This window comes from Homo sapiens, chromosome 10 (genome assembly GCF_000001405.40).
Source record: "Homo sapiens chromosome 10, GRCh38.p14 Primary Assembly".
NCBI lineage: Eukaryota > Metazoa > Chordata > Mammalia > Primates > Hominidae > Homo > Homo sapiens.
The window spans coordinates 87,870,369-87,897,425 of NC_000010.11; the positions used below are offsets into that span (position 1 = coordinate 87,870,369).

At 34.4% G+C, this 27,057-nt stretch overlaps 1 protein-coding gene across 3 annotated transcripts in view; it reads left to right on the forward strand.

Moving 5' to 3' along the window:
- Positions 1-27,057, forward strand: part of PTEN (phosphatase and tensin homolog) — a 108,306-nt gene that overhangs the window by 6,744 nt on the left and 74,505 nt on the right. For all 3 annotated transcript variants that reach the window (NM_001304717.5, NM_000314.8, NM_001304718.2), the window contains 1 exon segment: positions 23,657-23,741. In NM_001304717.5, the coding sequence (NP_001291646.4) occupies positions 23,657-23,741 (85 nt within the window).

Consider the following 27,057-nt stretch of genomic DNA (forward strand, 5'->3'; position numbering starts at 1 on the left):
AAATAAATCTCTGCTAACTCAAACTGTTGACCAAAGTAAAATTAATTATGCCAATCAAAAACTATTTGCTTTAAAATATAAAAGGCAAAAACTTCCTATTAGCATAATGAAGTAGAATTTTTAAACTTTGTTATAATCTTAAATTTTCTTTAGTGTTGAAGATAGGTCAACTTAACTATCATACATTTTTATTCACATAAAGTAAACTCTGCCTCAAATGTAATAAACTTAATATGAGTTATGTAAACTTTGGTCAATAGAGGTATATTTTTTAGCATTTCCTTTTGAAAATTTCAGCCTTTTGAGGGAGTCTTGCAACTGAATGTCAAGTTACATTTATTACAATAAAATGGACACTTAATATAATCTGTAATGCATTAACATAATATGGGAACTTTTAAAGTATTCAGTCTCTGTATTATTGAGTCCTATTTCCACATTTGGCCAGGATTCTCAATATGATTTAGGCCCAAGACGTGGGAAGAAAGAAGTAAAGAACTAAAGGATTTTTTTCTTCATTTTTTTAATTGAATATGGGGAAAGATGGAATAAGCTTATCTGTCCAGTAAAGGCCATTATGTGTACATAGGGATTATTATTTTTCCCCCCCTTGGGCTGTACTGATTTCCCAGATGTACCACAGCACTCTTAGTAGTGAAGCACTTGACTTCTAGTGAGTGGATTTTTTGTGTGTGTGTTTTATATTGCAGAGTGAATACACTCTGTCTGATACTATGTGACTTTCTGATTATGTGATTTTTATGCATTTTATGTGTTTTGTAAACTAGCTGTATTTTTGGTCCATGTCTAGGTTGTAGAATTGAATTGTGCATTTTGGCATCTGAGCACAGCTGAGTTTTCTAAATCAATCTCTCTCCTTGCACCTAGTTTTTGCTTTAGATCACTACCTAAGACTTACTGTTGATTTAATATTAGAGCACTTAAGCATAGCTTTGACTTTTATTTCCTTTGATTTTTGTAGATTTTCAGGCTGAAGTACAATAAGGTTCTCTGTTCTTTACTAGTAATTGCAAAGATTGTATTCTGTGAATTTTATTTGTTTAATACTTTTGATCTTTTGAAGAGGATGTAATTATTTAAGGTATTATGAAATGCATTGTGATTTGAATTAGATACTCTTTGGAGATGGAGTTTTGCTGTTGTTGCCCAGGCTGGAGTGCAATGGTGTGATCTCGGCTCACCACAGCCTCCGCCTCCTGGGTTCAAGCAATTCTCTTGCCGCAGCCTCCCAAGTAGCTGGAATTACAGGCATGCGCCACCACGCCCGGCTAATTTTATATTTTTTTTTTCAGTAGAGATGGGGGGTTTCTCCATGTTGGTCAGGCTGGCCTCGAACTCTTGACCTCAGGTAATCTGCCTGTCTCAGCCTGCTAAAGTGCTGAGATTACAGGCATGAGCCACTGCGCCCGGCCTCAGATACTCTTTTAATTAGATGCGTTTAAAAATTTAACCCACCATTGCTGGCATGAATAGATGTATTTTTAGAGTGATTCATAAATATCGTATACATGTTTAAAGTTACAAACTTTTTGCTTATTTCAAAATGCAGGATTCTTTTCCATTTAAAATTCCCTCTCTTTGTGAGACTTCTTTTTGAGTATTCTGGTTACTCTAAACTGATTGGAGATGAAATTAGATAGAATTGAAAACTGTACTTTTAAAATGAAATTTTGGGGATGTCATTAAGCTTGATTTTTTAGGTTTTTTTTTTAGTGTGTATTATAAATTATTTTACACTGATTGTCAGCGATAAAATGGAATGCCTGGGATTTTTTAAAATTTATTTTATTCATTTTTATAAGGTAAAAACAGTGTTTTGCTAGGCTTAATTTGACCATGTTGTAAAATTTATTGTATACCTTGAAAGAATCATTTATGAAAGATACTGAATTAGCTAATATATACTCTGTCTTATGTAGTTTTTGATTAACAATACACTTTTTAAATCATTAGCTCATTTGATTTTGCAAAGAAGAACAGGTAACCTAAGAGGCAGACAGAACAGGCATTACTTTTATTTTTCTTTCTTTTTTATTTTATTTATTTATTTATTTATTTATTTTTTGCAGCTTAGGAATTGTAGCTCCAGTGGAATCAGTATCTTGTTAATGGCTAGTGAAAGACTGAGTCTGAAGAAGGATGCAGGACTTTTTTGGCACTTGGTGCAGTATTTTTCCCATTATGTTACATGAGTGGTTCTTAAACTTCAGTGTGTTAGAACAACCTGAAGGGCTTATTAAGCTATGGATTGCTTACTCCACCCTCAGAGTTTCTGATTCAGTAGGTCTGGATTGGGACCTGAGAATTTTTATTTCTTAGAAGTTTTCAAGTGATGCTGATGCTGGTGCTCTGGGGATCACACTTTGAGGACCACCAATGAACATTATCTCCCACCAAGCAAACCCTTAACATGTTATACTCCTTTAGGTTATTAGAATTTATACATGCATTATTTCATTTGACCTGTAAACTCTAAGTAACTTTGCATGGAAAATGTTATCCTGATTTTATAGACGAGATAGTGAGTTTAGAAAGGCAGTATGGTGGAATGGAGCATAGATTTGGAGTTGGCTAGACCTAAAGTCCAGATTAAATCTCTGCTCAAGGCTGGGCGTGGTGGCTCATGCCTGTAATCCCAGTGCTTTGGGAGGCCAGCGTTGGCAGATTGCTTGAGTCTGGAAGTTCGAGACCAGTCTGGGCAACATAGGCAGACCCTGTCTCTACAAAAAAAAATACAAAAATTAGTCGGGTGTTATAGTGCGCATTGGTAGTCCCAGCTACTGAGGAGGCTGAGGTGGGATCACCTGAGACTGGGACTTTGAGGCTGCATTGAGCTGTGATTGGGACACTGTACTCCTGCCTGGGTGACAGAGTGAGACCCTCTCTCAAAAATAAATAAATAAATACATCCCCGCTCAGCCACTTATCAGTTACGTAGATACACTGCCTAACCTTAGTGAACCCTGTTTCGACAACTCCAAAATGGGAGTAAAAATCCTAAACTTGTACAGTGGTTTTTTAGTTTTGTTAAAAGTACAGGTGAGGTTTTTTTCAGAGTATTGGTTGCCATCTGAGAGTGATCCCCTTTCACCTCCTCTAGGACTTTTAGCATTTTCTGGAGACATTTTGGTGGTCACAGCTGGGGTGGTAGAGTGTGCTATTGGCTAGGGGCTTGAAGCCAGTGATGCTGCTTAACATCCTATATGGCACAAGACCCCTCCCCATCAACAAAGAATTATCTAGCCCAAAATGCTGTGTAAAATGTCTGGTATATAATAAGTATAATATTTGATGAAAATCAGTACCTTTGCCCCCAGGTGTGATATTTAAGAAGGTCAACTTACTAAATCAGTGATGGAGTTAGTCCTAACATCTGGGTGTTCTGACTGCTGCTAGGCCAGTATTCTTTATATGATAATAAGAACTTTGTCCACAGAAGATATCCCTAATAACAAAAAAGGTTTATTTGAAGAGGACTCATGTGTTCTTTGGCTGATTGTGAAAGTGTTGCTTTGAACTTCTGTTAGAAAAGGTTGAAGATGTTTTCCGTAAGTGTTTTTAATACTGTACGTAGTATTCAGAAGGATGTTTAATTTTTTTTTTAATTTTGCTAGTAGTTTTTAAAGTAATCCTTTTTCCTTTAATTATGTAGTTGTTGAACTGTTGGGAGTTACTTTTCTCTTACTATTTTGTTATTTAATGTATTCTTTGACCTTATGCTTTTTTATTCTAAAGCTGCTTTTATTATAGTCAGATATGATGAAGTTAAATGTACAATGTAAAATTGCAAATTTCCAACGAGCTATACAAACTTAAATATTTCTAAGTAAAGAAAATAGGGCTGACTCTAAGGTTCTTTGATCCATGTGTTGCATTCTTTTCTAGGCCCTAAATTTGCTATGCCAGCCTGTTGAATTAAAGTGCTTTATTTATCTAAATTAGAAACTTGTATTAAAGTGAAGTTTTAGAAAAAAAGAAACAAAATCGGAATGGAGTTTTAGGTTAGCCCAGAGATGGGAAGATGCCAAGAAGGTAGCTTTAGTGGATTCTGAATTTTTTGGTTTTGTTTTGTTTTTAGGGCAGGCAAATGTAATTACAAAAGGGTTCTAGGAATAGATTGCTGTGATTTTTTTTCTGTTTGCATGATTTTACAGTTTGCTTTGCCTCTCACTTTTGAATGCAGAATAAAATGTCAAGGCCTTATTTTTTTTTAAATTCTTAAGAAATTTAAGATTTGACTGTTAATTCCTTTTGAAATATGGGATATTTTGAGATACCAATTATTTAAGACAAATAGGACTCATTGTTACAATTCAGTTGAATAAGGCTTATGATGTTTATTTCAGTATATGAATGAAAACTATGTGCTTATTGTACTTAAGAAAATTTCTTTTATTAAAAACATGACTAAAGAGAATTTTAAAAATCACCCACTGTCCTACTTCTCTAAAACTTAATGTTTTCATATTAGCTTCCAGTTTTGTTCATATGCATATACTTTAAAACCTAGTTCATGGTGAACTTAAGAGGGTGTTCTTTTTAAAAAACAATTTCCATTGCACTTTGTCGTTGCCTTAATTAAATGGTGAAATCATCAGAAATATTTATTTTCCTATACTTATACATTTATTAAGCTTGTTTCCATTTTTTTATTTTGTGATTTTTTAAGTGGATTTAAGATAACCTAAACATTAGAGAGGATTTTCATGGTTTTGATTCATGAAATCATAATGTTATACAAACCTAACTGAAGTGTTAGAGCCTTGAAGATTTTTCCCCCGAATTACATATAGTAACTCTACTTGTATTTAATACTGAAAGCATATTTTACTTATTTAAGTGAGACAAAGTAAAATTTAGCTGAATACTTTAGATCTATCATTTCCTTTTCCTGTTGTAAGAACATTACATTGTGTTGAAATTAAAGTGGATATAGAAGGTAATTAGAATAAACTGCCACATCATTTTTATAGTAAAGTGGTAATAACACTATTGCTTTCTGTTTTTTTAATCAGAAGGAGTATGGGCTTATAATGATGTTACTGTTCCCTGAAGCATATTTTGAATGATACGGTTTATATTTGCACAGTTGCCCAGGTAATCATTGTGATATTAATTGATCAATTTGCTATTTATTTGCGTTTTAAATCAGTACTAGTATTTGTGCTTAAAAATTTTGCATATGTTTTATCAGATTTAATTTTTAAGTGTCAGATACTAAAACAAATAACCTTAACTTTATTAAATTATAATTTTTTATCATGAGGTGGTATTCATTTATTCATATAGTTAGAACAAAAAATATTTAAAATATTGAGGTAGAAACAAATTAGTCTCTTTTTAATTAAAAGCCAGATTACTTGTTAGAGTAACATTTTCCCAAATGAGGTAAAATTGTTGCGACTGTTAAACTTAAGGAAATTTTGATCTAGGTGTGGTATATACCTTCTTGTGGGGTGCTAATGAAAACAGGGATGGCAAAAATATTTTGTTTGTGAGTGTATGCATTTATGCTTTTTGACAACCTAAGAAACACTCTTACATCTGAGTATCTTTCATGGACTAGCTGTAGGAAATCTATATAAAATAGCTTAGTATACTGAAAGTATGACATAGTTTTACATATCTAGATTGTGGTTGTGATTATATATAATACTATAAAATATGCTAACGTGCTGCTTAATAATACTATTTGGATTTTTTTTAATACTGAAAAGGTCACACAGATTGTGATTATTGTGTAGTGTCCAAGAACTAAGGCCTACCATCTGTTACTCAAATGTATGAAAAAGTTAAGATAATTTAGTGATATAAGTGGTTTTGACACCACTGTTTTTGGAATAATCTAATTATGATTTTTATAAAGACTAATATCAAATTTTAAACGTTTGCAAAAATGAAACCTAATAGTTATACTGTTATTTATATTTTTCTATTACAATACAGATACTGGCTGAGAACTAAAGATTGTGTAATAAACGCCTGGCCTTCAGTCATTTGGTTTTTTTTTTCCCTCGATTGTTTGGATAGTTAACTGGACATCATGTTTTAACTTGAGAAATTAAGTTATACAAGATTTTGATATTTTAAACTAGTTTTCCTAACTGGTTGAGATATATAAGAATTTAGTATTACAGGACTCAATCAGGGAACTGATTTAATAAGAATTTCTTAAAAATTTGTTTAAATATTTTTCAAGTTCTTTTCTTCATCTTCTACAACTTAATTCTTGTCTGTATGCAAATGAGCTTCCCCATTTAAAATTTTGCTGTTGCATTTTAGGCCACTATAGAAGTTGTTTCTTTAATTTTCACTCACAAGAATTTGGTCTTACCAAATTGTGTAAATCTTTAAAATTGTGTATTTGGCTTAATATTATAGAATCTGATTGATTTAATCTACCTTGTTTCATTTAGTATGTTGACATTTTCTTGAGAAATTTGTTATGCCAAATGATTAACATAATAATATTTTAAGTTTAGATATGATTTTGAATTTACATTTTCAAATGCAACTTTGTGTCTGTGGCCTTTTTTTTTTTTTTTTTTTTACGAGAAACATCTTGCCAATTTTCAGATTAATCTGTGAGGAAAGTAGATTGGTTTACTAGACTCAGTTTGTAGACTTTGGTGAGAACTGAATTGGAGGCTATGAAAAAAATACCTTTTGGGCCTTTCTGAATAGACATATATACATAAATTATATCTCTTACATTAAGTGAGGCACATATGTAGGTGAGATTTTTACCTGAATATTAAAAGTTTAAAAGTCGTTACCTATTCTGTTTACTTAATAGTATTTAAAGGGTGTGAGAGGTGTTATGTGTTTCTGTCCCTTGTTTTTATTCCTATCCCTCCCATCTAACTGTTGGTACTCTTATCTTCCCAGGTATTAAACTTGTATGTTTTAAAAGCTTATTTACTTGTTGAAATGGTTAACTTAATTAGTTTTTTCTTTGAAGTTTCAGCCTAAATATTTTCTGTTTTTTTATATGTCCTTTAAATATGAAAATTCTACAGCTAATCATAATTAGTAATTGTACTTTTTCCCCTATTACAATAACTGGTTTCATAATAAAATGGTATCCCTTCAATAACAAGCATTTATAGTAGTTTATTAAAACTAAGGGTGTTATCTATTCAAACCAAGCAATGCAGACTTACTGTTGACTCTGTTAATATATTTTAAAATTGCATATTACTAAAATTTAAAATATGATTTTGACTAGTATTTTGGTGTATGTTATTTTAGATATTTTGATTATGCACTACTTAAGAATGAATTGTCAAGTATGATTATAAAGTTGATATAATAGTTAACCTTCAGTGGGAATAGGAATCATTTAATATTGTTAGATATTTGTATTATTAGAACAATCTCCTATGATTCTTACTAATATAGTAATGAATGACAGACAATATGTTGGCTTTCATATTTAAAAATTCACATGCATTTCTAGTTTATGTTTTTCTTCGACTAAAATTCTGCAGCACTTAGGCAAAGCTATTTTTACCAGTTGGAAAAAAAGTAAGTCATTTCCAACCAATTTTCCTGGCTTGTAGTATAGAATAAAGAGACTTGATTTTATTACATTAAAGCCAAATATAAAATGATGCAATCTAGCACACACTTGTTTGGAACTTTTCTCTTTTAAATATTCAGATTAAGAGGACGTTGAAAGGTAAATTTTTTTTTTTTTTTGAGACGGAGTCTAGCTCTGTCACCCAGGCTGGAGTGCACTGGCACGATTTCGGCTTACTGCAAGCTCTGCCTCCCAGGTTCATGCCATTCTCCTGCCTCAGCCTCCCGAGTAGCTGGGACTACAGGCGCCTACCACGGTGGCGCCCGGCTAATTTTTTGTATTTTTAGTAGAGACGGGGTTTCACCGTGTTAGCCAGGATGGTCTCGATCTCCTGACCTCGTGATCTGCCTGCCTCGGCCTCCCAAAGTGCTGGGATTACAGGTAAATTTTGATTGTTATTAGCAACTATAAAAGTTTTGCAGTTGGCTTATTGGAAAAAGAAAACCTCCTTGCCGGAGACGGAGACGCATTTGTATTAGAACTTTGTTTTCTGAGTACCTTACCTATAGTAGGTTTCAAATATTGGTGAATTAGTTGATGGTTAGGTCTGCATAATTACTGCGTATGGAAATTCTGGAACCCTATTTTTTCAAAATGCAGCTAATGTTGAGAGAATATGCACTAAATATTACTAGATCTTTGTTTTTCAAGATGCTGATATCCCTTAACATCTTCTGCACTTTACCTGTTTGAATATCTTTTTTGCTGTAAAAATTAGTGGCCTTATGTCTTTCTGCATAATTATAGAGTAGCCAAAACCTGTTTTAGGTTAATCACCTCTGGCAAAATAAATGATAAAAGCATAGCTTTTGTAAGCAGAATGATATTACAGAAGTTAACTTATAAATCTAAGTGTATTAAAGACACTTAGGAAATTTATGATAATGCTGGGTCAGCATTACAGTTTTAACTTTTTACAGTTTTTCATATGCTTTTTTTGTGATTTTGCTGTAGAAAATTAACAGTTGGCATTTGGCTTAGTTCAAGTATAATGCTGTTGACAAGTATATCTGACACGTCATTGAACTAATAATATTTTTGAAAGCTGATAGGTAAGTTATATCTATTTTGTTTCATTCGTCATTAGTGATCGGTCTTAGATGTTTTTAGCGAGAGCAAAACTGTAGAGGAATGTGTGTCTGTGTGTGTATATGTGTGTGTGTGTGTGTGTATTTTAACAGCAGGAGAGTTCTGAAACAGGAAACCAGTCTTATCATATTCATCCAGAGACCTAGGAAGAAGGTAATTGTTTGGTATACTCGTTAAAACCAGTTGGTTGGGCAACTTAAATTTTTAGAGGATCACAGATGTAGGCTTGAGCAGTTGTAGATAGATGATTTCTTTTTTTTTCTTTCTTTTTTCTTTTTTTTTTGAGATAGAGTCTCTCTCTGTCATCCAGGCTGGAGTGCGGTGGCGCGATCTTGGCTTACTGCAACCTCTGCCTCCCAGGTTCAGGCGTTTCTCCTGTCTCAGCCTCCTGAGTAGCTGGGATTACAGGCGCATGCTGCCATGCCCGGCTAATTTTTTGTATTTTAGTAGAGACGGGGTTTCACCGTGTTCCCCAGGCTGGTCTCGAACTCCTGAGCTCAGGCAATCTACCCACCTCGGCCTCCCAAAGTGCTGGGATTACAGGCGTGAGCCACCGTGTCTGGCGATAGATTATTTCATAATTAACACCTGCTATGAAGAAAAATTGATTAAAATAGTTGAGAAGTCTAGTACACTCTCAGCTAATATACTAAATTATACTATGGATTTTAGAGTATTGTTAACATTATCAGTGACTTGATATCTTCCTGAGGTTCTAATTTGCTTAACTTTAAATAATTGGGGTTCAGATCACCTTGATTGTTCCCTTAAAGATTAAATTTTGTAAAACTGTGTGTAATTTTCCTGTATCTGGTTTGGATAGCTTTAAAAATGGTTCTTAAGTTTAATGAGTTCAACTGGGAAAAAAGTTAGTTCTATTTTAGATGTTGTGTCACTGGAAATTATGTTTCCCTGTTTGTTATATGCACATTATTACAAAGTTGTAATCAATGTTTTCATACTGTTCTCTGGTCTGTTTTTTTCACAAATACACTTTTTATTTGTCGCCAGGTACTTATTTTTAAAGCTATAGAGGTAATATTTCATCAGGTGAGGGTAACTACCATGGTTTGTTTGCTATACTGTGTTAGGGTTATTTTCGTTTTTTTTTTCTTTTATAAACTATAGTTGTGAATATGTTTATGTAGTTTACTTTTGGTTTATTAGAATATATTGCTAGAGTGGGATTACAGGATTAAAGAGTGTACAGTATTTTAGTTTTTTTTTTTTTTTTACAAGTTGCAGATTTGTTGCCAAATGAACGAGTTTGTAGTATTGCTAACAAGGAGAAGAATTACTAGCAAGTCTTGATGTTACTTTTGAAGAGTGTGATGATTGCATTTAGGAAGATATCTAAACTTCTGTTTCAAAGCAAAAAGTATGTGCAAATTTCTTACTCATGACAAATTCATATAATATAAAAACATGAAAGTTGTGAGGTCAGGTTGTTTGGAGAAGTAGAAAACTTCAGTAGAGTTTATAGATAGGCAGTCTTCCTTTCTGGTTTGGCACTGACAGCAGATTAACTAGAAAGTGTTAGAAGGAACCTAAAATTTATACTAAAGTCAATTTAAGTTAATTAATATACCAGAATTCCTTCTTTTACAATTTATTTATAAAAACACCATATTGAGTTGCCTTGTAATGAGACATTTAAACTAAATTTAAATAACAGAATTCATGCACCATCTAATAACAACCCCTTATTTACAATTATAGAGTCCTTTGCAATTTTATAGATATTTTCATGTATCCCATTTGGTCCTTGAAACAATTAATGAAGAAGTTACAGCAAGTGGTATTATCATTATTTTACAGAAGAACAAAACAAAAATATATGTGGCCCAGAGATTGAGTGATTTACCTGAGGTTATAGGCTTTAGATTGCATAGCTGGAAGTAGAACCTTGTTCTTCTATATTAAATGACAATATTCATTAAGTACTTAGCACAGGATTTGGTACCTAGTAAATATTTAAATGTTCCTGTGTTATTCCTGACTATTCCTTCTTTATTCTTAAAACGCCATTTTTTGAGCACTCTTAATATTTATAGTTCAAACTTTGTACCTATGTACCTTTTTCTCTTTAGAAAATAAGATTTCAGGCTGCATTAATTTGATCTGTACAGGAATGATTATATGTTTTACATATTGGGACAAATTGCTCTTTTTTTATATACCTTAAGCTCTAGGGTACATGTGCACAACATACAGATTTGTTACATATGTATACATGTGCCATGTTAGTGTGCTGCACCCATTAACTCATCACTTACATTAGGTATATCTCCTAATGCTATCCCTCCCCCCTCCCCATACCCCATGACAGGCCCTGGTGTGTGATGTTCCCCACCCTGTGTCCAAGTGTTCTCATTGTTCAGTTCCCACCTATGAGTGAGAACACGCGGTGTTTGGTTTTCTGTCCTTGCGATAGTTTGCTCAGAATGATGGTTTCTAGCTTCATCCATGTCCCTACCAAGGACATGAAGCTCATCCTTTTTTATGGCTGCATAGTATTCCATGGTGTCTATGTGTCACATTTTCTTAATCCAGTCTATCATTGATGGACATTTGGGTTGGTTCCAAGTCTTTGCTATTGTGAATAGTGCTGCAGTAAACATACATGTGCATGTGTCTTTATAGCAGCATGATTTATACTCCTTTGGGTATATACCCAGTAATGGGATTGCTGGGTCAAATGGTATTTCTAGTTCTAGATCACTGAGGAATTGCCACACTGACTTGAACTAGTTTACAGTCCCACCAACAGTGTAAAAGTGTTCCTGTTTCTCCACATCCTCTCCAGCACCTGTTGTTTCCTGACTTTTTAATGATCACTATTCTAACTGGTGTGAGATGGTATCTCATTGTGGTTTTGATTTGCATTTCTCTGATGGCCAGTGATGATGAGCATTTTTTCATGTGTCTGTTCGCTGCATAAATGTATTCTTTTGAGTAGTGTCTGTTCATATCCTTCGCCCACTTTTTGATGGGGTTGTTTGATTTTTTCTTGGAAGTTTGTTTAAGTTCTTTGTAGATTCTGGATATTAGCCCTTTGTCAGATGGGTAGATTGTAAAAGTTTTCTCCCATTCTCTAGGTTGCCTGTTCACTCTCATGGTAGTTTCTTTTGCTGTGCAGAAGCTCTTTAGGACAAATTGTTCTTAAATAATGAACAGTTGGCACTTTTTCAACTGGAAAATTCAAGGAACTGCTCTTTCTGCTTTCTGCTCAATATGAATCTTCAATTTAGAAATGAGAGTCCATCATTAACAATTCAACATAGCTTATTAATAGGAAAAAAAAACCTAGTAACAAATGTAAAATCTTTGATTAAATGAGAAAGTCATAGAAGTTCATCAGATTTGTATTTAAAGCATGATTTCATTAGAAAAGTTGATAATAAGGATTTAACTGTGACATAATTGGAAAATACTTGTTTAAACTTAAAATTTTGAAAAGAAATGTAAATGTGATGTAACTTATGAATCAGTGGTTGAGTTTCTTTTTTGCTCACAAGAACCCTAACTGTGTGTTACTTGAAAGCACTGATGGAAATCAGGGAAAAAGCTCCAGAAGTTCCTACGAAATAAAATTAAATGATAAAGTCCTGGTATCTGCTAACTTGCCTTCCATTCCTGTTATCTTTTCTTCTTAGTCTGACTTCATTAATTCTTTCACCCTGGCTACTGGTTTAGCTCAGTGTTTTATGAGCCAGGCAGCTTCAGACTTTGCTTTTGATGCTCTTTGTTCATTACCTCTAAAGCTGTATTATCACTTTCATTTTATCATTAATGTTTCATGTATATGTTATAGTTTCATATTGTTACTGCAACTTTTACTTAGCTATAATTTAAAAAATATCTGTGATCTGTGGAAATAATTATTCTATGGCAGAAAAGTAGTTATTGCATTTTACTTTATAAGTTGTTTAAGGATAAGCATACCTATATATTAAGCACTACAAAGAAACTTTTACAATGGCTTTATTTTTAGCAAACCATCATAGTTAAAATAAGATTTAGTGTACATGTCAGGAACACAGTCTTATGAAATAAGGTTTAGGGAGCTATTTTTAGTTACTATATCCTACTTGAAAATTGTAGTTAAATTTCTAGCATATACCCTATTAATTTAGATGCAAGTACAGATTTGAGATAAGGTAGATACATTATTTGGATGTCAACTCGGAAGTTGTTCAAGAAAAGATATTTTGTTATTTAGATGTAACTTGGAACATATTTCTAGTGTTTCAAGTCATGATTGTATGCCTAGAACAGGCAATAAAAATTTACTTAGCTGGTAAAACAGCCACATTATTTCAAATATAGTTTAGTTATATTATGGATTAAATTGATTTTTGTGGACAGACTTTAGAACTTAATTGCTATTAATTACATTTTTTCTTTGGGACGGTATTTGTTCTTTGGTGAGAAAGGATTCTTGTAACACCTAAATCAAGACTGTCCAAACATGGCATATGCAGTTTACCAGTCAAAACAAACTAATCACTTAAGATCTGTGTATTTTGTTTTATTTGAATTATACCTCAATTAAAACAAATTTAGCATGTTTACACAAAGGTGGGGGGAAACTGTCTAATATATCTGAGATCTGTTGGAGCTGGGGTGACCATCCAACTTAGGCAAGATAGCTAGTACCATGTATGCATTTCTTTTACCTTTCTTATTGTATATACAGTAATCACTGATATTATGAGAAAAAGAACTTTTTAATAATTCAGGAGATATTTTATCGCTAGTATATATTGAGTGCTTATTATGTGCCTTATATACTTTGGACTCATTTAATCCTCAACACAACAACCCTATGTAGTTCATACTAGAATTATTCCCATTTAAAGATGGGGAAAGTGATGTTTAGAGAGGCTAAGTGACTTGCCCATGGCCAAAGTATTAGAACTGGGATTTGAACACAGGTAGCCTGATTCCTAAATAAATGACCACTAACATTAAAAAGACATAAACATAGAGGTGTTTGTTGCAATGTTAGTCATAATACCTAAAAATTGTGAACTAGTTAAATGTCCAATAGTAGTAAAATGGTTCATTAACCATGGTACACCCATCAATATAATGTTATATTGTCATTTAAAATTGTATTCCCAAGTTTCGTATCAGGAAAATATAATAAATTTTTGAAAAATGTAATGGGATATATTGTATTTATAATACAGTAATCACTATGTAACCAACATTTTTATTTCCATCAAAAATTAGTTATAAAGAAATAGAAATCTAAGAAGTTTAATAGATATTACCATTGAACACTAGATTTGTATTAGTATCTTTTATATTTATCTCTCTCATTTCCTATATTGGCCATGTTTACTTTTAAAATAGTAAAAGTCATAAGCTCTATTTTAAAAATAAATGTTAGTTTATTAACCCAAGAATAATAGCTAACTATAAATTCATATTTGATAAAATAAAAAGATGACATTCATCATAAGGGATACATACCTGTGCTAGCATATGGCATTTTTAAAATCACATGAGTAATTTGTAATCATCATAGAAATATTAGAAAATACAAATAAGCAAACACATACTGAAAATTTAGTGTTCCCAAATCTAAAACAGAGACACTGTTTTTTTCTTTTGGGATTGTATTTTAGATATGTTCTTAAGTTATAATAAAGTAAATACTTAAAAGGCAAATTGATACATTAAGGATTTCAAAGAGTAAAACTTTTTGTTAAGCTTTGATGTTCTTTAGAAAGTTTAGATTATTCCACAAGTCACTGTCGTTGAAAGAAAAGTAGTTACAGTGGGGTCTTATGGGATAAGGCATTACCATTTGTTCAGTTGAGAGACAGCTATCACTATGTTTTAAGCATTGTTCATATATTAGCTCATTTAATCCTCATAGCAACCTTATATGATAGGTACCTTTATTAGCCCCATTCTGCTTAGGAAGCAACAGAAAGAGTATGTATTTTGCCTAAGGTTGCACAATAAGTTAAGCTGGGGTTCCAATTCTAGCAAGTTGGTTCTAGAGTGTATGTTATTAACCATTATGCCGTAGTGCCTGCAAGTAGATCTCTAGATGTCAGAAATACTCATCTTCCTCTGGTTACCTGGTTGTTATAAATCTTTATGCTTAATACTTATGTCATTATATGTAAATTTCGTATTAAACACTCAACTTATTCAGAAGAATATCAGGTAAGTGTAGGTTAAGGCTGTTTTCTATCAGAAATCATTATATGTATATATATTCCTCAGTTCTTATGTTGTTTAGTTTTTCTAAAATGTCAAATTTTATAATATATGGAGAAGTATAAATGTATATTAGAAAGATTTTGTTTATTTGTGTAATTTGTGGCATAAGAAATATTTGCCTCAAGATTTGGTGCTTGTTTAGGTAGTTGCTGGCATTACTTTTGGAAATGTCAGTAAATTTTCATACTGTCTTGGAATTTTTTCAATTTTTACATTTTATTAGTAAATGTAATTACAGGTTAGTAAATCACTTATTTGAACCTGTTTCCTTTGAAAGTTTTATATTTTTATTTGGAAATAGAAAAACCTTAATTTCCTCTCGTTGGGCAGTATGGTGTCAAAAGCTTGGGCTTTGGAGCTTCGTATATAATCTGGGTTCAAATTATAACTTACTAGTTACTAACTTGGGCAAATTACCCAGTCTTTTTGACTCTCAATTTCTTTGTCTATGAAATGTAATACTATTTAGGATTGTTAGGATTAAATGAGAATATATTTGGCATACTGTCTGGTACATGATACTTAACAGGTACTAGTTGTCTACATCTTTCTAACTTAGGATGGATGCCGATGTCTTGGGTAACATCTCAAACTTTATCAGTAAGGAAGGTGAGAATCTGAAGAAAATGAAACCTTAAAAAGATTGAATTCCTGGACTCCATTTAAAGGAGTAAATAGCTCACGAACAAGACTTGCTGCTCTGCAAAGTCTTCCATGTTGATCCTGGTCTTTGACTCCTTATCTGTCTGATTAAATTGAATTCGCTGCCGTGGCATCCTTAAAGCTGGACCTTACTTTGTCAGTCCTGCCTTCTCCATGTTGCTTTGTGTGTAAGCTTCACTGGACTGTTTGCTTTTTGCTGATTATTTTATGTATTTCCATATGTCTACTTTAGCCTTTGCTTGGAATGTTCTAACTGCTCTTGTTTCTTCCTCTGTTTACTGGTTTCTGACTTAACTCTTAAGGATTATCTAATATATTACCTACTTGGTGAAGGTTTATCTGTGTCCCCACAGAATTAATCCTTCCCTCTTTAACTCTTAAGCTATCTTATTTTTTATCTAATCGGGTCTTTGGCACAATTATAGGTCTGTGTGTCTGTCTTCCCTAATAGAATAGGAAAGCCTTGAGGACAGTAGTCTTTGCTTACTTAGCCTTATATTCTCAGTGCCCCTTGTGCAAAACGTTCAATATATGTTTGAATGATTATGTGAATGAAGGAGGGGGCCAGCTGAATTTACTTTAATGATTATGTAACACCCATTTATGTATAGTTATAGACTTGTCTGAAATGAGTTAAATCCTTTGCAACGTTTGCTGCTATGCTTTGAATGTCTCTTACAAAACTCATGTTGAAATTTAATTGCCATTGTAATGGTATTAAGAGATGGAACCTTTAAGAGGTGATTAGATAATGGTATCTCTATCCTTATGAATGGATTAATGCTGTTTGAATGGTAGTGGATGAGTTATCTTGGGAGTTTGGCCTCCTCCGTCTCACATGCTTCCTTACCTTCTGCCATGTGGTAACTCAACACAAAGATCCTTGCCAGATGCTGATGCCATGCTCTTGGACTTCCCAGTCTCCAGAACCGTGAGCCAAATACATTTCTGTTCATTCTAAACTACCTGTTTTGTGGTATTCTAGTAAAGCAACATAAAATTTACTAAGAAAACTGGTACCAAGAGTGTGATTGTTGCCATAACAAATACCTGAAAATGTTCAAATGGCTTGGGTTCTGGCTAGAGAAGGATGGAAGAGTTTGGATGAACAGGCTAGAAAAAGCCTGTATTGCTGAGAATAGAGCATTAAGGACAATTCTGATGAGGATTCAGAAGAAGAGAGCTGTAGGGAAAATCTGGAACTTCTTAGAGAGTTGTCATCAGTTGGTAGAACTATAAGTGGTAAAGGTCTTTCTGATGATATCTCAGAAATGAAGAACAAGATACTGGACACTGGAGTAAAGGCCATCCTTGTTAAATAGTTGCAAAGAACTTGGCGAAATTATGTTCATATCCTAAGACTTTATGGAATGCAGAATTTAAGAGTGATGAACTAGGATATGCTGCAGAAGAAATAACTCAGCAGCAGAGCATTTAGGTTACTGGATGGCTACTTTTAACCACTTAAACTAAGCTGGGGGAAGGGAATGACTTGAAGACAGAATTTATAATTAAAAGAGAGGCAGAATGGAAATACTTGGAAAATTTGCAGCCTGGCCATAGTAAAGAATGCAAAAGGTATGTTTAGGAGAGCAAACCAAGGGTGTGGTCCAGGAACCATTTGCTGAAGAGATTAATATTCCTAGAGGAGACCCAAGGGCTATTTATCAAGACAGTGGAAAAAGACCCCAGAGGCATTTTGGAGATCTTTGAGGCTGCCTGCCCCATCACAGGCCCAGAGCTCTAGGAGGGCAGAATGGTTTGTGGCTCAGGTGGTCCTTCACAAGCTTGCTGCCCAGGGCTACCTCAGCTCCCCATATTTCAACCCAGTGGGCCTTGGCTGTCCTAGGTCTGGTTCAGAGGGGCCCAGGTGTGGCTTAGGCTACTGCTGAGTACTCAAATGGTAAACCTTGGCAGCGTCTATATGGTGCTAATTCTGCAGGCTCACAGGATGAAAGAGCTGTGGGAGACATGGCTACCACCACCAGGATTTCAAAGGATGATGGGGATAGTCTGGGAGAGACTTGCCACAGGCTTGGAGCCTCTGAAGGGTGGAAATGTGGGTTGGAGTCACTACAGAGAGTCCCTACTAGGGCATTGCATAATGGAGCCATGGCAGCAGGCCCACCACCAAAGCTTCAGAACTGTAGAGCTACAAGTATACAGTGCCAGCCTGGGAGAACTTCAGGCTTGAGACCCTAACCTGTGAAAGCTGCATGGGCTAAGTACAGCAAAGCCATGGAGGTGGGGCTTCCCAGGGTCTATTGGGATGAAACGAATGTATTTTGTAGGTGAGAAGGACATGAGTTTTGAGGCCCAGGGGCAGAATGCTATGGTTTGGTTGTTTCCTTCAAAACTCATGTTGAAACTTCATTGCCATGTGGCATTATTATGAGGTGGAACCTTTCAGAAGTGGTTACATTATAAGGGCTTTGCCTTCATTAATGGATTAATGCCATTATTGCAGGTGTGGGTTAGTTATCTCTGGAGTTTGGCCCCCTTTTTCTCTATCATGTGCTCATGCCCTCTTTTGCCATGTGATGCCTTCTACCATGTTATGATGCATCCAGAAGACTCTCACCACATGCAGCCCCTTGATCTTAGACTTCTCAGCTTCTAGAACTGTGAGTGAAATAAACTTCTTTTCTTTATAAATTACCCCGTCTGTGGTATTGTATAGCAGCAGAAAATAGACATCAGCCTGAAGTTCCCCCAGGCTGGCATTAAATACTAATTATTAATTAGTATTTATAGTGCAAGGATAAATTCAAGTTTAGCCCTGGTTAGAATGACCACATTTCAAGGGAGGGGCTTTGTACTTCTGTGCATATCTGTAAGGATAAAAATCTTAATACTATTCTCACTGAAATTAATGGTTTAGGTTAGGTAAGGTTGTTAGTGCTAATAATTATTTCTTTTAATAAAATATTCTTAGTTGCGTTGTTCAAAAAACATAGATGATTTGAATTTATATTTTTTGGCCAAAATATATTTATAATTTTGAGTAGGAATTCCAGAGTATTGGTAGCTATAACCACTTTGGGTTCCCTGCCATTGCTTCTGGTGCCTCATTTTTTCTGACGTCTTCCATTTTCTTACATTTGTCTTCTAAGGTGGAGTTAAGATTACTCAGTTAAGATTATTTCACTTTAGGCCTCTGCTGTCTTCTGCTTTTTTTTTTAAAATGAATGGATATAATATCCCAATACATTTTGATAATTGAACAACAGCTACATTTTTAAGTGAGGCTACTTTCTTCTAATTTTTTAAATTTATTTTTCTCAGTTTTTAAAAAAAATGTCAGATTGGCTAAGAGTTGGGGCAGCTTTCTTATGTGAGAGTAGTAGATGACAGCAAATATTTGTGATGTTAAAATGATAATCCTAATAGTTTTCTTTTAGAATCTTTATAATAAAAACCCTTTGAGGCTGAGGGTGAATTTGTATGTTCCTAAAGTGACAAAAAATGTTCTTGGGGCATAGTAATTTAAATCTTAGATGCTTTTATTAGTATAATTTTTTGGTAGAAATTTGGCATTAAAAAATGCATACAGAGCTTTTTCTACATACAGGGCAAGACAGCATTTTGTCATGGCAATTAGTAAATAGATAATTATAAAACATCTAATTTTAAGCAATTTGTTACAGAAACGATACAGGTACATTGTGGCAAAAATAGAAGATACAAAACAAGCAAATATGAGAAAAAATATACATGCCACCACCTATATATGACTTTTAGTACTTTATAATCTTTTGTCTATATATGTCTATATGGATATATACGTATTCTTTTTATCCAAATGGTATTACATTGTACATTCTGTTTTGAAACCTGCCTTTTTTAGTCATTTACATCTACTTTTCCATCTCAGTAACTTTTCATCTTGTGTAATGCCCGGATCACATTAAAATGTTTCCAATTAGCTCAAAAATGTCCTTTATGGCTGGTTTGGCTAAAACAGTATCCAGGCCAGCATTGCACCTATGAAATTGGCTGTTAGGAATCTTGTATCTTTAAAAATCAAGGGCAGCAACCCATCCTCCCGCTTCCCCCACCTCCCACCACCCCCCCACCTTTTTTTTTTCTTAAAGATACTGGCTTGTTGAAGAGAGAATGGGTCATGTCCTACAAACTGTCTGAATTTGTCCAGTTTGCTGTCTCATAGTGTCATTTAGCTTGTTTTATCCTATGTATTTCCTGCAAATTAAAATTTGTATCTGAATCCTTGGTGGATTTGAGTTGAAGATCCTTAACCATCATAGATGATGCTGTGTCCTTTATATTGCATGTCAGAAGTTACATGATCTTTACTTGATTCATGATGAGGAGATGGCCACTGAAATTGGACAGTGACAGTCTTTTCTGCCCATTGTTCAATTATATTCGTCTCTTTACATTAGAAAGTATTTTGGGTAGTAGTATTTTGGTGCTGTAAGAAAGTTCATTTTCTCATCAACCACTCACCTATTGGTTTAACACCATTTGTTGATCTTTGAGTATATCAGTAATTTCATCAGGGTTTGCAAAATAAGACTTTAAATTCTATTGTTTTACATTATTAATTGATGTTTTTTGATAAGGTAGAACTTGTGAAATGGGACTATTTGTTTGTCTTTAAATACAGTCTCTATAGGAAAGACAAAATAAATACTTAAATCTCACTCTTTACCATTTTTCAAAGTGAAGAACTATTCCGTTAACCACCTCAAAAGATGATAAATAAAAAGGGTATTTTTAGTTGTTTCAACTTTTTTTTTTTTTTTGAGATGGGGTCTTACTCTGTTGCCCAGGCTGGTGTGCTGTGGTGCAATCATGGTACACCGAAGCCTCAGTCTCCCTGGGCTCAGATGATTCTCCCACCTCAGCCTGGGACTAAAGGTGTACACCACCATGGCCAGCCAATTTTTTTGTATTTTTTGTAGAGATGGGGTTTTGCCATATTGCCCAGCCTAGCCTCAAACTCCTGGGCTGAAGGAATCCACCCATCTCAGCCTCCCAAAGTGCTAGGATTACAGACGTGACCAACAATATCCGGCCTTAACTTTTTTCTTTTGAGTGTCTTTATAGACTCAAGGACTTTTATTTAATTCAGGGTGTTAGTACCATTTAAATGTTTTCTTTGATGCTCAGATTATCACAGCTAGTCATTTGGACCTTTATACCACCTCCTATGTCCATTTGATATAGGCCATTAATCTCTATAAGCCTTCCTCCTTCTCTTGGAATGAAAAGGTATCCTAGGCTCACCTGTACCTTCCCTACTCCAGACCTGGCATTAAGTCTTTTTCCAAGGAGTTTGGTACCTTTTAGTTTATTATGATATTAGAGATGAAAATCTGTGTTCTAGGAATGTTTATTACTGCTAGAGTGATGTTGCTTTTAGGCCATTTCAGAGAAAAGACCTAGAAAACAGATTTTTACAAACATGAATTCATACTGATATTTTTAGTTTTTTACATGATTTCTTGATTTTACAATATTATCTGCTTTCTTAACTTAAAATTATGAACCTTAAAGTCATTAGCATAACTTCTTTGCTTATTTCTACAACATAAAGAAAATAGTCCTGGTGCGGTGGCTCACACTGTAATCCCAGCACTTTGGGAGATTGAGGCAGGTGGATTGCTTGAGCTCAGGAGTTCAAGACCAACCTGGGCAACATGATGAAACCTTGTCTTTACAAAAAATTAGCTGGGCATGGTGGCATGTGCTTGTATTCCCAGCTACTCAGGAGGCTGAGGTGGGAGGATCACCTGAGCCCAGGAGGTCAAGGCTCTAGTGAGCCATGATCATGCCACCACACTCCAGCCTGGGTGACAAAGTGAGACCCTGTTTCAGGGGGAAAAAAAAGATAAAATAGTTTGAGGAGGCTGGATGTAGTGGCTCATGCATGTCATCCTGGCACTTTGGGAGGTCAAGGTGGGAGGATGGCTTGAGCCCAGGAGTTTGAGACCAGCCTGTGCCACATCATGAGACCTGGTCTCTATTTAAAAAAAAAAAAAAAAGAAAATAGTTTGAGGATATCAATAATGATATTACTAGAATCAGTAAAACTACCAAAAGAAGTTTAAAGTTTCTTCCTAGTGTTTTTTTGTTCTTAGAATACTTCCTACCAAGAAGTGCAGTAAAAGTGCAGTGTCCAAATAGCCCTTGTAACAAAACCTTTCTCTTTCTCCTGGGTGCCAATTTGACATTTAATCAGTTTTGTTTCTAGCAGTGTTCAATTTATTAGATTATAAGTCTTTTTTTTCTTTATATTATTCTAAGATCAAAAATATATAAAGATATACACAGGAGTCCTGCTGCTACCTGTTCTTGCTATGCTTTTCCCCTTTTCTTCCCTTTCTCTGTGAAGCAGCCATTTTTATTAGTTTCTTGTTTATCACTCATGCATGCATATGTTTATTGAGGATGTTGACATTCAAGCAAATATATGGGTTAACATTCTTTTTGTCATCCCTATACGAAAGATATACCCAGTATACTCTATTGGGTGGGTTTTTTTCCTTAAAATATTCAGTAGATCTCTCCAGTTAGCACATAGTTATCTTATAGATAGAACATATACATATAACCTTTTCTTAAACTATGCTATTAAAATAATAGCTTTCAGTAACTTGATAATTATTTTTGGATTGAAAATACTACTGAAATCAACTCAATCATGTGAAAGCTGCAGAAAGAAAAAGACCTAGAAAAAGGGCATTGGATTAGGTCAACTTTGAATTTTATTTGGAAGATAAATGAGTCCAGAAGTGAGTGGGCAGAGATTATTGGAGTTGGTCTTGAAATGAGGCGTTAGGCAGATTGACTGGGCTGGTGTGAAAGGTCTGTCAGAAAATCATGAGATTAGATTGAGGTACCTCAAAAAATGAGAGCTGGTATGATGAGTGGGTAAGAATCATAAAAGCGTAGAGTGTTGATGATTTTTATAGTTTATAAATGGTTCTTGTGTGTAGAGTTTTGTTTTTATGCTAGCTATAGTCTGTAACATAATTCACTATAATGGGCATGCTAAATATCCATGACAGTTGACCCTTGAACAACACAGAGGGTAGGGGCGCCTACCCCTGTGCAGTTGAAAATTCACATGTAACTTTTGACTCCCCAAAACTTAATATTTAGCCTATACTTGACTAGAAGTCTTACTGATGACATAATGTTCGTTAATACATATTTTATATATGTGTCAGATAGCATATTTGTATAATAAAGTAAGCTGCAGGAAAAATATTAAAATCATAAAGAAGAGAAAATATACTTACTATTCATTAAGTGGAAGTGGATCCTCATAAAGGTCTTCATCCTCACTGCCTTCACTTTGAGTAGGCCGAGGAGTAGGAGAGAGAGGAAAGGTCAGACTTGCTGTCTCATGGGTGGCAGAGGTAGAAGAAGGTCCACATACAAGTGGTCCGACACAGCTCAAACCGGTTTTGTTCATTGGCCAACTGTAGTTTGATTGAAAGTAATAATAAATGAAGTTTCTGCCTCAGTTCAGTATTATCAAGTCATAGATAGCAAGGGCTGGAAGAAACCTTAGTAGTAATCTCTTTGAGTCTAATTATCATGTAGAATAGGAAATTGCGGTCTAGAAAGGTTAAGTGACTTGTCCAAATTACACAACTAGTTAGAGACATAGCCAGCTCTTAAATCTGACTTCCAGATTTTCACTGTGTCTTCTTTTTTCTGTAACGTGTTGCCTTTTTTAGCCATGAAAAATTAGAAGTTGAACTCTTGTCTTTTCAGGCAGGTGTCAATTTTGGGGTTTTGTTTTGATTTTTGGTTTTTGACATAAAGTACTTTAGTTCTGTGATGTATAAACCGTGAGTTTCTGTTTTTCTCATATACCTGAATACTGTCCATGTGGAAGTTACCTTTTATCTTTACCAGTATTAACACATAAATGGTTATACATAAATACATTGACCACCTTTTATTACTCCAGCTATAGTGGGGAAAACTTTCTTTTCATAACTAGCTAATGTTTTAAAAAGTATTCTTTTAGTTTGATTGCTGCATATTTCAGATATTTCTTTCCTTAACTAAAGTACTCAGATATTTATCCAAACATTATTGCTATGGGATTTCCTGCAGAAAGACTTGAAGGCGTATACAGGAACAATATTGATGATGTAGTAAGGTAAGAATGCTTTGATTTTCTATTTCAAATATTGATGTTTATATTCATGTTGTGTTTTCATTTAGAAAAGATTTCTAAGCCACAGAAAAAGATACTTTGTGATGTAAACTATTATTGTAGTGCTCTATAATCATTTTTTGGCTTACCGTACCTAATGGACTTCAGGGGGATACAGTTCATTTGATAAGAACTGACCTTATACATTACATAATCAGGTACTTATGTGATATCATTTCCTGGACTCCATAAAATGCTGGTCACCAGGTTTAATACCTGGATTCCATTACAGTGTGATTTTTGTCTTATTTCATAGTTGGGGATTAGGCTTAAAATCCTAGAGTGGATTTATTCAGTTAAATTTATTCACACTAAGATGTAGATGACTAATACTGTATATTTTTATGTAGACCAAATTTTAAGGTACCACTGTGCATATGTATACCAACTACCTGAAGAAGTATTTGGTTGGTACAAGAGATATAGAAAGGAATCGCTGGGTGTACCAAGGCTAATCAGTTTTATAATTTTGCATAATTTTCTAACTGCGATTATCATTTAGTTTAGAACAATTTATTTCTCAAGGCCCATGTAAATATTATTTTTAAAATATACAGTCTTAAGAATTCATGGCATATTTTATGAAAGGAGGAATTCATGTCTGATGTGCAAATAGTCTTAACATATTTTCTAATTTCAGAGCAAAAATATATATGTATGAATAAATTAACTGTAAATTGTCAGTAGGAACCTTAAGAATTCGTGGCGTATTTTATGAAAGGAATTCATGTCTGATGTGCAAATAGTCTTAACATATTTGCTAATTTCAGAGCAAAAATATATGTGTATTAATAAATCAACTGTAAATTGTCAGTAAGAACCTTAATGGCTTTAAAAGTTAAAATTTCAGGTCAAGCATTGTGGTGTGCTCCTGTAGTCCCAGCTACTTGGGAGGCTGAGGTGGGAGGATCACTTGGCTTGAACCCCCAGGTAGAGGGTAGAGGCCAGTCTGGGTAACACAGCGAGAACCCATCTCTTAAAAAAAAAGTTTAAGTTGTGGATTATTTCCTTTACACTCTTTCATTAGTATCTTTCCTGGAGACTTTCAATTTAAATACTTGGTGCTTATGACAATTAGATGTTAAAATGGATGGGAAAGTACTTTGTAACTTATAAAGCATTATGCAGATGTAGACTCCTTTTATAATAGTTGTGTAAGTATATAAGACAACCTACATTCTTCATGAGCTAGCCATAAGTTTTAGCAACTTGCTTTGAACCACGGTAGATTTACAATTTTCTGTAGTATTGAGTTGTGTTCATTTAGAATTTTGTAATATTTATATTGAAAATCAAATTTTTGTACCTACAAAAACTACAAAAAATCCCCCTAGTTTTTATAGTTTCTATTAAAATTATAGCTGGTACATAGGGATGCCAGAAGGACTGTTTAAGAAGCTGAAAATAGAGAAATGAATTTATCTTCTCATAGTTAGGCAGGGCACAGTAGAAGGATGCTTAACATTGCAAGCTGATGGGAACAGCAGGTTGATATAGCTTGTGATAACACTTCTAAAGAAAAAGCAATGAGCCATAGAAAAAAGAAAAAGATACATTTTGAATTAAGGAAGATGGTGAATCTGGGAAGTGAGCAGTACAGTCACCAGACGTGTATCCTCTCCTATGGTACAGAAGTGTTTATTGGGTCTCTTTATGGCCTGCATGATATATCCCACAAGATGACCTACTTCACATTATTTTAATTCTGTATTCAACTAAGCACTAATTCAACCCAGCCAGATTAGTACTCATACCAAAAAAGAGTGAATACTCTGAATAGAGGGCAGGTTTTCTGATTATGGTGAGAATATCTTTGTGGTAAATTAATCTGGTGTGCTAGTTTTTACGTTGGTCTCTTCTCAGTGTCGTTAGTCACTGAGGCTGATTGATCATCTTTTAGGTTACTGATAAAGTTCCTGTACAGCTGATTTTCAGACCTTAGATTGCAATAACTTCACCAAGAAAATACTTCATTGGGAAGCATTTTGGTCCTTCCATTTGATTCATAACTCTTACCTTTATGCCTCTGAAGGAAAAGATTTATACATTCAGCTTGTAATTAGTAATCAAGACTGAGGTTTAGTCTATCTAGCTTCACAATCTATCTAGTTTGTTTTGTCTAGCCATATGATTTCTTCAAATATGCCATTTCTTAAAAAAAAATGTTTTATGTATCCCGATTAATATTTAGCCAGTGGTTCTTTTAGCCGATGGATCTTGTCACCTCTTATGATACTATTAATAGCATGTCAACATGAAGAATTATCTGCTGAATATAATAGCTATGCTGTCCTTGTTTCCTTTTGTCTCATTCTTTTTTGATTGGGGGATAATTGGCCAATAAAGCTTTGATAGCCTCTATTGCCCAGGCCCCTCCTCTTCTTTTATGAGAGAAAGGATGAACAGTGACCAGAAATAAAGGTATTGTTTTTTTCTATCAACTAAAATGGAAATAAATAATTCCTAAGTAATTTGCCTGTTAGGATTAAAGTCTCCAAGAGAATGGCTGTGCCTAGTACCTAAGTGATTAATTTCCTTGATTGGTTCACATTATATTGAGGATATTAGTAATCAGTAGTGATTCCTTTTTTGGTTCAAAGATGATAGTGTCACAGTGAAAAATGTTTTTAAAATTTTTGTATACTTAATTTTTCTGTTAACGAAAGTATTTTCAGTTGGATTTTTGTTTGCCCTCTCTATTAGAATGCCCAAAGAATATTTAAAATTTTCCTTTTCTCTTATACTGCATATTTTTCCTGTGATTTTTCCCCAAACGGAAAATACTCTGCAGAGATTAGACTTTGTTATTGTTGTACTACATCATTGCTTTGACTAAAATAAACTCAGATTGCAAATACCTTCAAGCTTACATTGCTCAGTATTTTTTTTTTTTTTTTTTTTTGAGACGGAGTCTCACTCTTGTCGCCCAGGCTGGAGTGCAGTGGTGCCATCTCAGCTCACTGCAACCTCTGCCTCCTGGGTTCAAGCGATTCTCCTGCCTCAGCCTGCGGAGCAGCTGGGATTATAGATGCCCGCCCCCACGCCCAGCTGATTTTTGTATTTGTAGTAGAGATGGGGTTTTACCTTGTTGGCCAGTCTGGTCTCAAACTCCTGACCTCGGGTGATCCATCTGTCTCGGCCTCTGGAATTACAGGTGTGAGCCGCCACGCCTGGCTAAATTGATCAGTATTATTTAACTTTGAGGGATATGATTTGTTATGGAATGCGAAGTTTTATACTTGAGGTACTCAGAGTCCTT